This window comes from Homo sapiens, chromosome 1, assembly GCF_000001405.40.
Source record: "Homo sapiens chromosome 1, GRCh38.p14 Primary Assembly".
In the NCBI taxonomy this organism is placed as follows: Eukaryota; Metazoa; Chordata; class Mammalia; order Primates; family Hominidae; genus Homo; species Homo sapiens.
The window spans coordinates 222,607,814-222,623,824 of record NC_000001.11 but is presented as its reverse complement, the minus strand read 5'-3'; the positions used below and the strand labels follow the sequence as shown (position 1 = coordinate 222,623,824).

At 41.3% G+C, this 16,011-nt stretch overlaps 1 protein-coding gene across 7 annotated transcripts in view, besides 6 other annotated features; it reads right to left on the bottom strand.

The window, feature by feature from the left end:
• MIA3 (MIA SH3 domain ER export factor 3) overlaps nucleotides 1-5,728 on the bottom strand; it is a 49,911-nt gene extending 44,183 nt beyond the window's left edge. For 5 of the 7 annotated variants that reach the window (NM_001324062.2, NM_198551.4, XM_006711304.5 and 2 more), the window contains exons 1-2: nucleotides 5,582-5,728; nucleotides 2,533-2,666 (exon numbers count right to left, since the gene is read on the bottom strand). In NM_001324062.2, coding sequence (NP_001310991.1) covers nucleotides 2,533-2,666; nucleotides 5,582-5,714 — 267 coding nt within the window. In that variant the 5' untranslated portion in view covers nucleotides 5,715-5,728. Of the gene's footprint in view, nucleotides 1-473; nucleotides 519-2,532; nucleotides 2,667-5,581 lie in introns of those variants that run through there. The other 2 variants (NM_001324064.2, XM_017001243.3) reach the window with 2 other exon arrangements.
• Nucleotides 4,688-4,747: an enhancer, noted in NCBI's record as "active region_2577". NCBI's record gives its function as "activates an Ori minimal core promoter by ATAC-STARR-seq in GM12878 lymphoblastoid cells {active_cell/tissue: GM12878}" and the evidence as "EXISTENCE:reporter gene assay evidence [ECO:0000049][PMID:35858748]".
• Nucleotides 5,028-5,910: an enhancer, noted in NCBI's record as "H3K27ac-H3K4me1 hESC enhancer chr1:222791257-222792139 (GRCh37/hg19 assembly coordinates)". NCBI's record gives its function as "activates a minimal SCP1, AML or CMV promoter by ChIP-STARR-seq in naive H9 embryonic stem cells {active_cell/tissue: H9 hESC(naive)}" and the evidence as "EXISTENCE:reporter gene assay evidence [ECO:0000049][PMID:30033119]".
• Nucleotides 5,028-5,930: a biological region, named in NCBI's record as "H3K27ac-H3K4me1 hESC enhancer GRCh37_chr1:222791257-222792139".
• Nucleotides 5,431-5,690: a silencer, noted in NCBI's record as "silent region_1834". NCBI's record gives its function as "represses an Ori minimal core promoter by ATAC-STARR-seq in GM12878 lymphoblastoid cells {active_cell/tissue: GM12878}" and the evidence as "EXISTENCE:reporter gene assay evidence [ECO:0000049][PMID:35858748]".
• Nucleotides 5,861-5,930: a silencer, noted in NCBI's record as "silent region_1833". NCBI's record gives its function as "represses an Ori minimal core promoter by ATAC-STARR-seq in GM12878 lymphoblastoid cells {active_cell/tissue: GM12878}" and the evidence as "EXISTENCE:reporter gene assay evidence [ECO:0000049][PMID:35858748]".
• Nucleotides 6,736-7,318: a transcriptional cis regulatory region, noted in NCBI's record as "H1 fragment used in the reporter construct". NCBI's record gives its function as "negatively affects activity of a beta-globin enhancer-driven SV40 promoter in transfected K562 erythroleukemia cells {active_cell/tissue: K562}" and the evidence as "EXISTENCE:reporter gene assay evidence [ECO:0000049][PMID:30886051]".

Sequence of the window (16,011 nt, the reverse complement as noted above, 5' to 3'; positions counted from 1 at the left end):
AAAATGTGCCCTCTTGAGAAACACACAGTCTTTTACTAGCTACTGTCTGAAAGGAGAGGTAGATCTCCCAATCATTAAAGGAGGAGGCTGGCATGTAAATCAAATGCACAAAAAGAAAAAAAGGCCATCTTATCACTAATTCATAAAACATCTCCATTCATGAGTGCTCTTGATCTGAAAACTATCTGAAAGCCAGTATTAGTAGTAAAATACTGCCATGGAGATTAGATAAGGGCAATTAAACTCTGTGTTATTGGCAGATCAAGTCTAAAATGCTAAGAAACCAAAAAAGACTGCAGAATGAAAACTAAGAAACAAATGAGAATCATTTTGAAAGCTGAAGACAGAGTTTTTAATTTCCTAAGAATAAGGTTCATCAAATTAGAGGGGAGACTATTTTAAGGGAGAACCTGGAAAAAGGAAACAAATCAGAGGTAGAGGTATATAGGGAAAGGGAAATACAATACATTTACCTTCCTTAATCTTTGTCAGTTGGGACCACAGGTGGCATCTCATTTCTTATGATTTGACCAAAAAAAAAACAAAAAAAAAAACATAGGCTCACATGACAAGAAAAAATCTTTATGTCTAATTTTGCTTTCATACATCATTTCTGCCAAGGTACTGTTGATTTCATTTGGGCGGGGGGTAGGAGGGAAAGTAGAGTATCGCCTTAAGAGAACAAATTCTGCATAAGATAATATCAGGACAAATATAAATAAATGCCACTGCCTCGTCAGGAAATACTGAAAAAGAAGACAGATAAGGCATGAGCCTTTCCATTAAAGAGTCTTTCACTTTACGTGAGCTAAGACAGTACACAAATTAACTGCCATACAAAGCAGTAAAGCAAATGCCACATGAACAGTGCAAACAAAGTGCCACCTAAACAATCATCAGGCAGCAAAGATCCCTTCTGGCTGGGTGCTGAAGGCAGCGTTCCTTAAGAAGGCAGGATGAGAGGTGTGACCCAGAAAGACTGACAGGACATCCAGAGATGAAGACGTGAATGAGCAAAACTGCAGTGGGAGGAAAATGTTAAGTCAAGTTCATTCATCCAAATGCTCAAAGATGAGGAGTGGAAAAAAAAACTTAACTTTTCTATGAAAAAACGCAGCCTAGGTACATGGAAAAACATTTCCAAGAGTAAAGATTATCAACAAATCTCATTAGGTAGACTTGAAGGAAATAGAATAGATTTGTTTTGGTATGGAGCAAGTCACTTGGGATGCTCTCTAAATAGGAGAGCTGAACCTGACCAGTTGTTGTTTCCCAAGATTACTCCCTAGGAACCTGGAATGCCAACAAAATCAGTCTATTTTCCCCAAGGGGATTTCTCAAGCCTTATTTTCTCTTTGTTTGTTTGGTGTTTTACTGACAGTGAAAACTTTCATAGTCGGGATGGGTATTTCTCTAAGTTGGGACAATCCTAAAGATATCGAGGACCCTTACTACTTGAAGTAAAGACACAGTCCACATATCACGCTTTCTAAAAAGGAAAGGACAATAACTCATAAGACAGGCCTCTCAATCAGGTCACTCCCAGTGAATCTCCTCATTAAAAATACCAAAGCATGATGCAGTCATTGATTGCCAGGTCTGATAGCAGGGTACCCATAAAATCAGCTGGGAATCAATCCCCTGGGGTAACCTCCAGACACAAGTGTCTGAAAAGCAGGACAAGGATGACCCCAAGGCTGCAAACAAAAATACAAACAAGAGGCTGGTTGCGGTGGCTCACGCCTGTAATCCCAGCACTTTGGGAGGTCAAGGTGGGTGGATCACAAGGTCAGGAGATCGAGACCTAGCTAACACAGTGAAACCCCGTCTCTACTAAAAAAATACAAAAAATTAGCCGTGTGGTGGCAGGCACCTGCAGCCCCAGCTACTCGGGAGGCTGAGGCAGGAGAATGGCGTGAACCCGGGAGGCGGAGCTTGCAGTGAGCCGAGATCGCGCCACGGCACTCCAGCCTGGGCGACAGAGCAAGACTCCGCCTCAAAAAAAAAAAAACAAACAAACAAGAAAGCACACGAGAAACAACATTTTGCTTTTTTACAGACTTATAATAGCACAGATGATTAGGGAACTGTTCCCAAGACTGCCACTTTTTCATAAATAATAATATAAACAAAGAAATACACATAAAATCAACTTTAAGCTTACATGCCTGAAACACTCTCTCACATATAGTTTACAGGAGTAAGTCTAATTCCTATGAATACTTCCTTTTTAAAGCAATGAAGTATTTTTCAGCTCTTACCATTTCAACCTCTAATACGTATGCAGCATCCTAGAGGTTGACCCTGAGGGGAACTTGCCAGAATCAGTTCTATTTCAGAAGGCTCTGCTGAGCCCCTACTCTGTGCAGACCCAAGGCCTGCTGGGGACACAGGGCCATCTTTTTTCACAGTCAGGCAGAGAGGACAAGTTAACTCCATCAAAGGTCCCAAGAAAATGCAGTCATTTAACTCTACAGTGCTAAAGAAGCCAATAAAAATTAAGCAAATAAAGTATGTCGATATTTTACTTACACTTCCAGCCCAAACTTCAGGCCATCCTCTTGCCAGTTTATAGTAAACATATACAGGATCACCTTTTTTAAAATTCACAAAACGACAATCCGGGCCTGTGAAATCTTCAAGAGCCTCACCGCGGTACATTAACACTGTATATAAAGAGAGAGAAAAAAAATAGCCAGATATCAGGATTCAGTGTTCACAGTGCATATTGATTTATCAGGAAATATAAGAATCCCACTATAAACAACAACCAAGTTTTTCCAGTACTCTCTGGAATTTCTTTCATATGCTCAAAGTATCTCAAATCCTTTGAGCTTTACTGCTATAAATCATACCTTCTGCAAGCAGACAAGGGAAAGGAAAACCTTCTCTATTTTTCTCTATGGATAATACTGAGAAACAAAAAGCAATGTGCCAACTACCACACATGGCTTTTCTCACCCAAGTGAAACTCTCGATTCCCTCTCTAACCTTCTAGTCCTCAATCTTTTCTGTTTCATATTCATAAAAAGCTTCCTTTTGCAAATGGGTAAATTCAAGCCCAGATGATGATTAACTTAAGCATGGCTACATGAACGGGTAATAGGGAACTAGAGTACCCAGGAACCCCCAAGAGGTCAATTAACTTGAACTAACCACTAAAAGGGTCTATCTTCAAGTGACTGTAACCAGTACTATGTAGCAGTAAACACTGTCAATTTCATTTGCAGCCAAGTTGTTCCCTTAGTACAGTGTCTGGATAAATTAATGGGAAAAGATATCTATCACACCCTACTATAGATTCAATTACATCACAAGGCAATATTTTCTGAAAGTAAATAATGTTGACTGTATCCAAAATTAAGTTTCAAAACAAAGGAAAGAATACCCTTATGTATATTTTTCTATAAACAAAATCAAAAGTCGACATCTCATTTGGCTGGGACTAAGCAAAACTATGAGAATAGGTCAGTAATTCAATCACGCTTGATCTAGAAACTGGCTGAAGCAGTACTTTTATTTTTGTTGACCACATACACAGTTTCCCATGTAAGATGAAATGGACAATAAATACATCTAAATAGCAGAGACAAAGAAGGACGAATAGAAATAAGATTTTTTCCAAAAGCCAATTTGCAATAAAATACATTAAAAACGTGCCTTTAAATGGCTATACACGCATATAGATTTGGAAGGGGCTACTTGTTTTTTGAAGCTAAACTCTGATTACTTTCCAACATGTCAGCTTTGTAGCTCAGATATAATTGAGTGTGAGGCCAGGTTTAAGATGATGGACAATTTAAGGTTGGGAATAAGATCAGAATTGAAAATGGCAATGTTTCTTTTGCTCCCCCTTACAATAGATCATAGAGGATTTATAATAATATTTGAGATGCCAACAAAATGCACCCTGTGGAACAGCTATTTGAAAACCACACAAGGGCACCGTACATACTCACATTACTAAACACTTTCTACAACACAACACAGACCCATCTAGACCTTGCTCCTGTTGATGCCTATTGTATTTGGTTTCCTCTGAACACGTACCATTTCTCAAGTTATGTTACAACCGTGAGCTCTTCTAACATCATGCCTCAGTACTGAAGAAGCATCAGTGATGTGATGATTCTCCAGGTAACCTGTTTTGAGGAACCCAGGCAGGGCAATGCTTGCAAGCAAAGAATACCAACTATCTTGCCATTGCCAACGGCAAATGGGTAACAGCGTGGCTTTGACCCAAGAAAACTAAAGGGAAAAATCATGGCAGTTGTACCGCTTTTGTAGTGTTTATTTACATCAACCACAGGGTTATCTCTAGGAATGGCTTCACACTCATTAGAGATCTCTTTTCTTGATTAGTGTTGTAGAGATACAAACAGTTCATATTATGAAATTCGGTTTTGATAACATCAATTTGAATATAAATAGCTAAACCATAGAGTTCTTGGCCTTCTTAAAATGAATACGTTTCTATAGGCATTGCTTAACAGTGTATGAAAAACCGTTTCTGCAGTGGCTATCAGTAAGTTACAAGGTTGAGACGGTCTGGGAGGCCCTAAAATGATCCTGGTCCGGCGAACATAGAGGGAAGAGGTTTCAACACGCAAGCGGCTAAGGCTAAACCAAGCTTGGCTTATGAGACCCTTGGAGTATTTACTGTCATTCCTGTAATAACCTTCTTCATCTGAGCCTGAAGATCTGTGCCCTCTCCACCGCCCACCTCCAATCCCAGACTGGAGAGCAATTCCGCTTCCTGCGCACAGAAGAGGAGGCTGCCGGTCCCAGGTGGCCGGTGCAGATCCTCGGTCTCTGCAGAGCGAAAGATTTTGGTCTTCCTGCAGTCCTGCCTAGCAGTCTGCAAGGCGGCTTCCAAGCACAGAAACGACAGGATTGATCAAAGTCGGGGCAGAGACCTCGGAATACAATGAGTGCTTGGACTCCAGACTCGTCCCAAACCTAAACTCCCAATTCCTGTTCAAAAGGCGGTACAAGCCCAAATCCCAATAAAGCAGAAGGGCAAAGGAGCAGCGCCAGGGAGCCTTTCCAAACAAACCCCACCATCAACCTGCCACTGGGAAAACGCCCACCGAGCCCTTAGCGCATCTGCCGGGGTGATGCACCCACCGAGGTCCCCGCAGCGCGGGCAGGAAAGCTTTGGTTGCGGCGTGGGGAGCCCAGACGCGCGGCGCGCAACCACATCTACCCTCCGAGCCCAGGCGGATTGGGGGGGTGGGAAGGGGACGCTGTGAGCCACTATTGGGGAAGCCGGGGACCACCGCAAGCAACCCCCCGCCTCAGCAGAGGAAAAATAAAACGCTGGCAACAAGTGGGAGGTGCAGCCCCCATGGTCAGGCCCGAGGGGCCGGGCGCAGGCAGAGCGGGAGAAGGCAGACACAGGGACCCGGAGCGCGCCCACCCCCGCGTTCAGCCCATCCCGCCTGCGACCCCCGGGCCGGCCAGGGGCTGCGGAACTCCCGTCCCCGCACAGCCCAGGCGGCGCCGCCGCGGAGACCCCCGGGGCCGGCGGAGACCCCAAGGCCAGCCGCCCCGAGGCCAGCCGCCCCTCCAGCGCACTCACTGCTGCATTCGTCGTCCGCGCAGAGTTTGTGCTCCGAGAACCGCCGGCCAGTGCTGGGGTCCAGCTGGCCCGGCACCCGCCAGGGCAGCCGGAGCACGAGCAGCCAGACGAGCAGCCCAGGCGCCGCAGCCATGTTGTGGTCACCTCGGGGAGCCGGTGACGCGGAGGAGGAGGCCGGGGCGGGCGCAGAGGGGCGGGACGGGGGCGGGGACGGGGCGGGGACGGGGGGGCTGGGGCGGGGGCTGGGGCGGGGACGGGGCGGGGACGGGGGCGGGGACGGGGGCGGGGGCGGGGGCGGGGACGGGGCGGGGACGGGGGCAGGGACGGGGGCAGGGACGGGGGCAGGGACGCGGGCAGGGACCAGGCGGAGCGCCGGGGGCATGTGGGAAGACAAGCGCAGAGGGGCGGCGCCCGCGAAGGTCTGAGCAGTTTCCGACTGACACGTCAGCAGAGGCTCTAGGAGGGATGCGGGAGACCTCCAGGAGGAGGACTGACAGCAGCCTCCTCCTCTCCTCGAAGCCTTCTCCTCTGGTCGCTGCCGTGGCAACCAGGACTCCCTCGCCCAATCACCTGCCTTTGCCCCAGTCCCTCGCAGCACCTCCGCGTGACTCCATTCTTAGTTCACCCCTCCCCGCGCGCTTGGGTCCCCCAACCCTGCGCCATCTCAACAGGTCCCTTCTGGCGCCTTCTCGCAGTTTCTGGTTTGTGGCCTGTCCCGAACCAGCCCCCCACTTCACCCCGCTACTTCACCCCGCTACCCCCACTCTTGGCATGGTACCTCCTTTTCTGAACTGCCAAATCCCACCCGCGATTTGCCACTGTTAGTCTCTGGTTTCAGGCTCCCTCCTTTTCAGCCTCCCAGGGCTTCCTTGGGGGCACCATCCCGTGGTGCTCTTTGATTAAGAAAGGGGGAGGTGAGTGGAATAGGGGGCTGAGGATATAAATCAGAGCCCGTGGCCTGCTTGGTCGTTGATAGAAATGGGTAATGGTCCTTGGGCTGAGATCTTGAGATTCCTAGATCTATATCCATAGGAAAAAAGTAAATTAATTTAATAACAGTGTGATGAGCTTCCATTTTATACTTATTTCATGCCAGAATTAAGATTAATCTTCACAACAATCGCACCTTAGAGTAGTAGGTCCTATTATGATCCCCATTTCAGAGATGACTACCTTAAGGCATTCAAACACCTAGTGAGTGATGGAGCTAAGATTCAAACCCAGGTAGTATGCTCCTTTTTAATCACAGCTCTGTAAAGCCTCCATCAAGCAACAAGCAATTTTTGTACTTTCTTTCTGAGCAGGGAAGCAAAATCTTATTTAAATCATACTATAACTGGATGATTTATATGTGCAGTTAAAAAAGCGGGGGACTGCATGAGCAGGTCAGCCCAGAGAAGAGTGGCTACAATGCTCTCCAGAAGAGTGGCTACAATGCTCTCCAGCCCTGGTTGAAGAACTTGGCATCTGTCTGTGACCAGCAGCTTCTCATTGCAATCTCTAAGGTTACTCATCAACCTTGAACAACAAACCCAGCAGCTGGTTTCCCAAACAAATCGTATTACTTAAAAGCAAGAAGAAAGAATGTGGCTTGTCTGTGCAATCCATTATATCGAATAAGGAAAAAACGGTAAACAGATGCTCACAAATTTTTGTCTGTAGGAGCCGTGAGAGTTCCTACTGGGCCAATGTAATTCCAATGCTGTCTTGAGAAATATACATTTGGTAAGGTCACGGACAAGCACTTTCTATCCAAGTAGTAGTTCTGTTCATTCTTCATTTCTTTTCTACTGTGTATTTATTTGTTTTAATATCTTAGATGTGTCTAATAGGCATCTCTAACAATATGTTGAAAACCAAACTCTTTATCTTTTTCTCTCAAACTCTGCTCCTTTCGGTCTTCCCTATTTGAGGAATAGGAATGACAATTTAATTCCTATCTTCTAGGTGCTTAAGCCAAAAACATACAAACCATCCTCGACCTCTTTTTTCTCACACCCAAGTCCAATCCATCAGACAATCCCATGTCTTTTTTAATAGCTTTGTTGAAGTATAATTAACCTACAATAAATTGCACATGTTTAAAGTGTACAATGATAATTTTTGACATATGTCTACACCCATGAGACCATTACCACAATGAAGTTAATTAACATATTCATCAACATCACCTCTGAAAGAGTTCTCATGATCCTTTATAATCCCTCCCTCCCTTGTCCCAGCTGTCTTCAGACAACCTTCTGTCACTGCAGATTGGTTTGCATTTTCTAGAATTTGATATAAATGGAATAATATCGTATACATTCTTTTTTTGTCTGACTCTTTCACTCAGCATAAACATTTGAAATACATTCAGAATCTGACCACTTCTCCCCATCTCCAGTGCCAGCAGTGCAGGCCAGGCCACCCATCTCTCACCTGAATAACTGCAATAGCCTTGTCATGTTCTTGCTTCTGCTCTTGCCCTTCCAAAGTCATAGTCTCAATAGTAGCTAAAGCAATTGTTTTATGAAATAAATGTGGTCATGCCTCTCCCCTGCTCATAACCTTCCCATGGCTTCCCATTTCCAAGTAAAATGCAATTACTTTTTTATGGAGTACACTGTCTTATTTAATTTTACTCCTCTGCCCTTTTACCCTCATTTCCTAACACTCCTCCCTTGCTCTGTTGGTTCCACTCAGATACACCAAGCCTAATCCTGCATTCGTGTATCTGCACTTGCAATTTTCCGTCAGCCTGGAATAATTCCCCAAATAGTCTGCCTGGCTAACTAGTTTCCTCACTTCATCGTGTCTCTGTAACAGTGCCATATCTTACAAGTGAGGCCTTCCCTGATACCCCTACGTAAAACAGAACTCCTTCTCATGACTAGCTGGCTCATCACTGTGCTTTATTTTTCTTTAGAGCGTTTACCACCTGCCTTATGTTTATCTACTTTACTGCCACCCAACCTCCAATATAAGCTCCATGGAAGCAGCGGATTTGTCTGTTTTGTTCACTGCTGTAATATCAGTGCCTAGAACAATGTCTGGAATATATAAGGTACTCAACAAATGATTTGTTGAATAAACCCACAGATCTTCACACATTATAAATATATTATGCTATTAACCTAAATAAAGCCTCCATAAAATGAATAGTACCAAAAGGGAATATACCATGAAAACAAGGCATTTGGTGTCTTCCCCTCAGTAGCATCCTTACCGCCAAGGACAGAACCTGAAATGTATTTACTGTTGAATGAGGGTGTATTTGTTGCAGAGGGAGTGGATGAAATAGCATGTATTTTTTCCCAATATACTACCAGAATATTAAAGCAGATTTAAAACATGATTTTATCTTATTTCTCCTTAGATTAGAATTAATAACAATTAATTGATGAAAAAAACAAAACTCCAACATGATCTAATCGAATATTATTACTTTACAAAGTGAATAATATTCACTTTGACTAATATTTACAAAAGCTTTTACATGAAAGGTCAGAGCTCTCTGTTACTGAAGAACTAGCTACTTAAGTGTGTAGATTTTATAGGGTTTTGATTTATTTACATTTTTGAAAAAATCATTTTCTTAAAAAGATATTGACAAGCCTGGTGGATAATTAGAAGACAGTTCTCAGCTGACCATAGTGAAGGTAGGGGTGGTGGTTCTTCCTCCTAGCATATATAAAATTAGGGGATGAATCAGAATTCATTTTCACTCATAGCGTTTGAATATGTGGCATTGATGTTTAACATAAACTCTAATCCTACATGTATTATTTGGTAACACTTCAAATGGAATTTTCAAATGGGTAAAGATTAAGTAAGAGTTAAAAATAAATTTGCCTAGTTTTGGGTGGAAGATACATAGAAATGTAACATTGGAGGGTTTCTGACCTCAGGGAATTTGCAGTCTAAATGAGAAAACAAGAGATAACTGAAACAAATAGGAGACATCGCAATAACATATATCATTGTAAACTTGCCATGGTGCCTAGCCATGAACATCCAGAAGGTCTAACACTGAAGTTACCAGTAAGAACCTAGAATCTATTGCCAATGATAAAATCTATTGCCAATGATAGAATCTATTGCCAATGATAAAATCACTCAGTGTTTAGAGAATGGAGTCAAACATTTATTGAGGACTATAGCTTCCATCCAAGATGGAGTAACAGGGACAGGATTTACCCTTTCACATTAAACATCTAAAAATCTGGACAAAATATAGGAAATACTGTCAGACATTGGACAATAAGCAATATAGAACAGTAATCCCTAAGATAAACTTGACAGATGAGATGAGTGCTATGATTGCCCTTGCTTACTGCCTGGAGAGTTTCCAGGACACAGCTAGGGAAGGGAAACTCAAATAGGAAATCTTCTTGAGTTAAAGAGACAGATTTGAGAGTTTGAGGAAGCCAATGTAGCTAGAGTTCACAGGGCAAAGTCCAAGAGAGGAAAAAAAAATGCTACACGGAGAAGAGAAAATTGTACAGAGAGAACTCCAGAGATCTACAGAGGATTTCCTTCAAGTCTTCAGCTGAGTAACAATAAGCATATGTGTGTGAGGAGCTAGCTGATGCCAGGAAAAGAACACCAGGGAGGAATGGAAGAGACAATTGTTAGAGTGCAGAACAGTTTGTATTATCACCAGCCAGAGTAGAAAAATCTGTAATAAACAGGGCATCAAGTATAATATTCAGTAAGAGGGAAAAATTAGCCCAAGATTAGAGGCTACCCTGGTCCTGCCTAGCAAAACTGAAAAGCAAGCCTTGAAAAGATCAAAATGCTTCCAAGTAAATTAACTGCATTCCAGAATAAACTTCTAGCATATTTAAAAGAATACAAAAATATCTAACACTCAACAAGGTAAATTCATGATGTCTGGAATGCAGTGAAAAATTATAAGGTATGCAAAGAAGTAAGAAAATGCAACTCATAATGAAGAGAAATCGATCAATAGAAATGATCAAAAATGACACTAGTGATGGAATTATTACACAAGGGTATGAACACAGTTATAGTCCATATGTTCAAAATGCTATAGGAAAGCATATGTATATAAAAGAGAAACAAGATATAAAAACAATCGAATTCAAACTTAGGTGAAAAAAACCAATGCCTGAGATAAAAAATACACTGGATAGGATTAACAAAAGATTGTATACTACAGAAGACAATATTAGTGAGCTTGAAGATGTAGCAATATAAACTCTTCACAATGAAACCCGTAGGTATGAGCTGACAGATGTACAAAGCAAAAAAAGAAAAACAAAAATTTTTAAAAAGACAAAAAAATCAAACAATGAAACACAAAGAGTAAAGAGATGGAAAGAAATGAATAGACCATCAGTGTGCACAACTTCAACCAGTCCAATGTATGTGTAATTGGGGTCTCTGAAGGAGATGAAGAGACAGAAAATATTTTTGAATAAATAATGAGTGAAGGTATTCCAAATTTGATGAAAACTCACAGATTCAAGAAGCCCAACAAATCCCAAGCACAGGAAACATCAAGAAAACAACACCAATGCACATCAAATTGGCTAAAACCAGTGGTAAGGAAAAAAACTTGAAAAGGATCTACAGAAAATATACATAATATATAGAAAGGAGCAAAGATAAAATGACTGTATACTTCTTGTCAGAGCCATGTCAGCCAGAACATTTTTAAAGTTCTGAAAGAAAAGAAAGGTGACATTCTGGAATTATATACCAAAGATGAGGTAGTCTTTCTTCAAAGATGAAGTAAAGTCTTTTCAATGAATGATGCTAAGACAACTGAATATCCATGTGCAAAAGAATTAAGTTGAACCCTACCTCCTACCACATATAAAAATTAACTCAAAATGGATCACAGACCTAAATGTCATAGCTAAAACCATAAGACTCTTAGAAAAAAACATAGGGGTAAATCCTGGAATAGGCAATGGTTTCTCATCTATGACACCAAAAGCACAAGGAACAAAGAAAAGAATAGATAAATTAGACTTTATCAAATATAAAACTTCTATGCTTCAAAGGTTACCATCAAGAAAATGAAGAGACATTATATCAAAACAAAATTTAAAAAAAGAAAAATGAAAAGGCAGTCACAAAGAACAGAAGAAAATATTTGAAATTAATATATCTGATAAAGGACTTGTACCTAGAATATATAAGGAACTCTTACAACTCAATAACAAAAAGATAAATGAATAACCCAATTTGAATATGGGCAAAGGGGCCGGGTGCGGTGGCTCACGCCTGTAATCCTAGCACTTTGGGAGACCGAGGCAGGTGGATTGCCTGAGCTCAGGAGTTCTAGACCAGCCTGGGCAACACAATGAAACCCCATCTCTACTAAAATACAAAAAAATCAGCTGGGCATGGCGGCATGCTCCTGTAATCCCAGCTACTAGGGAGGTCGAGGCAGGAGAATCACTTGAACCTGGGAGGAGGAGGTTGCAGTAAACCGAGATCACACCACTGCCCTTCAGCCTGGGTGACAGAGCTAGACTCTGTCTCAAAACAAAACAAAACAAAAAACAGAACAAAATGGGCAAAGGATTGGAATAGACATTTCTCCAAAGAAAATATTCAATGGCCCATAAGCAAATGAAAGGATAGATACTCAACATCATTAGCTAGTAGAAGAGTGTAAATCAAAACCACAATGAGACACTACTTCATACCTACTAGGTTGGCTATAATATAAAAGAGAATAACAGATGTTGTCAAGAATGTGGAGAAATGGGAACACATATACGTTGCTGGTAGGAATATCAAGTGGTACAGGCACTTTGGAAAATAGTCTAGCAGTTCCTCAAGAAGATAAACATAGAATTACCATATGACCCAATAAATCTACCCCTAGTTATATAACCAAGAGCAATAAAAACTTATATCCACACAAAACCTTGTCTACCAATGCTCATAATAGCATTATTCATGAAAGTAAAAAATGGAAACAACCTACGTGTTCATTCAACTGATGAATTAATGGTAGGTATAAAATATGGTAGGTATATCAATACAATGACAATTAAAAAGGAATGAAATAATGATACATACTACAACATAAGTGACCCTTGAATGGATTATTCTAAATGAAAGAACTTAGCCACAAAAAGCCCCATACTGTGTGGTTCCATTTAGATGACATTTTCAGAGTAGAAAAATCTATAGACACAGAAAGTAGGATGCCCAGGGCTGGAAGAGGTGGGAGCTCAATGATTGACAGATGAAGTGTACAAAGTTTCTCTTTGCGGTGATGGAAATGTTCTAAAATTGATTGTGGTGAAGGCTACACATCTCCATACTAACAACCATAGAACTGTACACTTCAAGTGGGTGGATTGTATGGTATGCGAGTTATAGGTCAATAAAGCTGTACCCCTCCAAAAGACTCTCATGTCAAAAAGTAAATTTCTAAATATGCAAAATAAAGCAAGACAAAATATGGTAAAATACATTTTCACATGCACAAATGCTGAAAGAATTCATCACTACAAGATCTACAATTCAAGAAATGTTGAAGCCCTTTAGGCAGAAAAAAATAACAGATGGAAATCTGGATATACGAAAAAGAATAAAGAATGCCAGAAATGTATATATGTGGGCAAATATAAAATATTTTTCTATTTAAAATATATAAAACATGTTTCTTATTTTAAAAATCTCTTTAAAAGATAATTAACTGTTTAAAGCAAACTAATAACAATATATCATGAAATATACACTATATGTACATTAAAATGAATGACAACTAAAGTATAAAACCAGGAGAGGAGAAATAGAAATAAAGATCTTAAACTATAGATGAAGTGATAAAATATTCCATGAAGGTATAGTATAATAAATTAAAGATATATACTATAAACCCTGAGGCAACACCAAAAAAAGCACAGAGTTATAGCTGTAAGCTCACAAAGGACATAACCTGTGGTTAATTCAGAAGTAGATGATAAAAGAGTAAAAGGGAAAAAAAACAGATGGGACAAATAGAAAGGAAATAACAAGACCCTGGATTTTATCAATCATATCAATAATCACATTAAATGTAAATGGTCAGAGGCAGGACTGTTAGATACAATTCAAAAGCAATACCCTACTAGATGCTGTCTACAAGAAAACACAATTGAAATATAATGACACAAATACATTAAATGTAAAAAAAGATAAACCATGCTAACACTAATCAAAATAAGCTAGAGTAGCCATATTAATATCAGACAAAATAGATTTAAGAGCAAAGAATATTACCAGAGATAGCTATTTCATAATGTTAAAGAAGACAACTCATCAAGATGATACAACAATTTTAAATGTATATACATTTAATAATAGAGCTTTAAAATTCATGAAGCAAAAAGTGATAAAACCTAATAGGAGAACTGCACAAATAGTTGGAGATTTCACCACCTTTCTCTCAATAATTGATTGAACAAGAACCCAGATAATCAGTAAGGATATAGAAGGCTTAACACCATCAATTAACTTGTCCTAATTGATATTTGTAGAACACTCCACCCGACGACAACAGAATACATATTCTTTTTAAGTTTTTGTGGAATAGTTACAACAATGTCATGGGCCACAGAACAATTTGAATTTTCAAAAATTCAAATTATGCAAAATATGTTCTCTGACCACATGGAATTAAATTAGAAATCAATAACAAAAAGGTATCTGGAAGATGTCCAAGTTTTAGAAACTGAATAGTATGGTTTAGCTCTGTGTCCCCACCCAAATCTCATCTTGTAGCTCCCATAATTCCCACGTGTTGTGGGAGGGACCTGGTGAGAGATTATTGAATCATGGGGTGGGTCTTTCCCATGCTGTTCTCATGATAGTGAATAGGTCTCACAAAATCTGATGGTTTTAAAAACAGGAGTCTCCCTGTACAAGCTCTCTTTTTGTCTGTTGCCATCCATGTAAGACATGGCTTGCTGCTCCTTGCCTTCTGCCATAATTGTGAGGCCTCCCCAGCCATGTGGAACTGTGAGTCCAATAAACCTCTTTCTTTTGTAAATTGCCCAGTCTCAGATATGTCTTTGTCAGCAGCATGAAAACAAACTAATACAGTAAGTTGGTACCAGTAGAGTGGGGCATTGCTGAAAAGATACCCAAAAATGTGGAAGCAACTTTGGAACTGGGTAACAGGCAGAGCTTGGAACAATTCAGAAGGCTCAGAAGAAGATAGGAAAATGTGGGAAAATCTGGAACTTCCTTGAGACTTGTTGAATGGCTTTGACAAAAATGCTGATGGTGATATGGACAATAAGGTCCAGGAGGAGGTGGTCTCAGAGGCATATAAGGAACTTGTTGGGAACTGGAGCAAAGGTGACTCTTGCTATGTTTCAGCAAAGAGACTGGCAGCATTTTGCCCCTGTCCTAGAGGTTTGTGGAACTTTGAACTTGAGAGAGATGATTTAGGGTATCTTGCAGAAGAAATTTCTAAAAGAAAGCATTCAAGAGGTGACTTGGGTGCTGTTAAAGGCATTCAGCTTCAAAAGGGAAATGGAGCATAAAAGTTTGGAAAATTTGGGTGGGCACAGTGGCTCACGCCTGTAATCCCAGCACTTTGGGAGGCCGAGGTGGGTGGATCACGAGCTCAAGAGATCAAGACCATCCTGGCCAACATGGTGAAACCCCATCTCTACTAAAAATACAAAAATTAGCTGGGCATGGTGGTGCACACCTGTAGTCCCAGCTACTTGGGAGGCTGAGGCAGGAGAATCACTTGAACTTGGGAGGTGGAGGTTGCAGTGAGCCAAGGTCGCGCCATCACATTCCAGCCTGGTGACAGAGCAAGAATCTGTCTCAAAAAAAAAAAAAAAAAAAAAAGAAAAGTTTGGAAAATTTGCAGCCTGACAATGTGATAGAAAAGAAAATCCCATTTTCTGGGGAGAAATTCAAGCTGGCTGCAGAAATTTGCATAAGTAACAATGAGCCAAGACAATGGGGAAAATGTCTCCAGGGCATGTCAGAGACCTTTGTGGCAGCCCCTCCCATCACAGGCCTAGAGGTTTAAGAGGAAAAAGTGGTTTTGTGTGCCTGGCCCAGGGTCCCTCTGCTGTATGCAGTCTAGGGACTTGGTGCCCTGTATCCCACCTGCTTCAGCTGTGGCTGAAAGGGGCCAGTGTAGAGCTTGGGCCATGGATTTAGAGGGTGCAAGCCTCAAGCCTTGGCAGCTTTCATGTGATGTTGAGCCTGCGAGTGCACAGAAGTCAAGAATTGAGGTTTAAGAACCTCCACCTAGATTTCAGAAGATGCAAGGAAAGGCCTGGATGCTCCGGCAAAAGTTTGCTGCAGGAGTGGAGCCCTCATGGAGAACCTCTGCTAGGGCACCACAGAAGGGAAATTTAGAATGGGAGCCCCCATGCAGAGTCCCTACTGGGGCACTGCCTAGTGGAGCTGTGAGAAAGAGCCACCATCCTCCAGACCCCAGAATGGTAGAT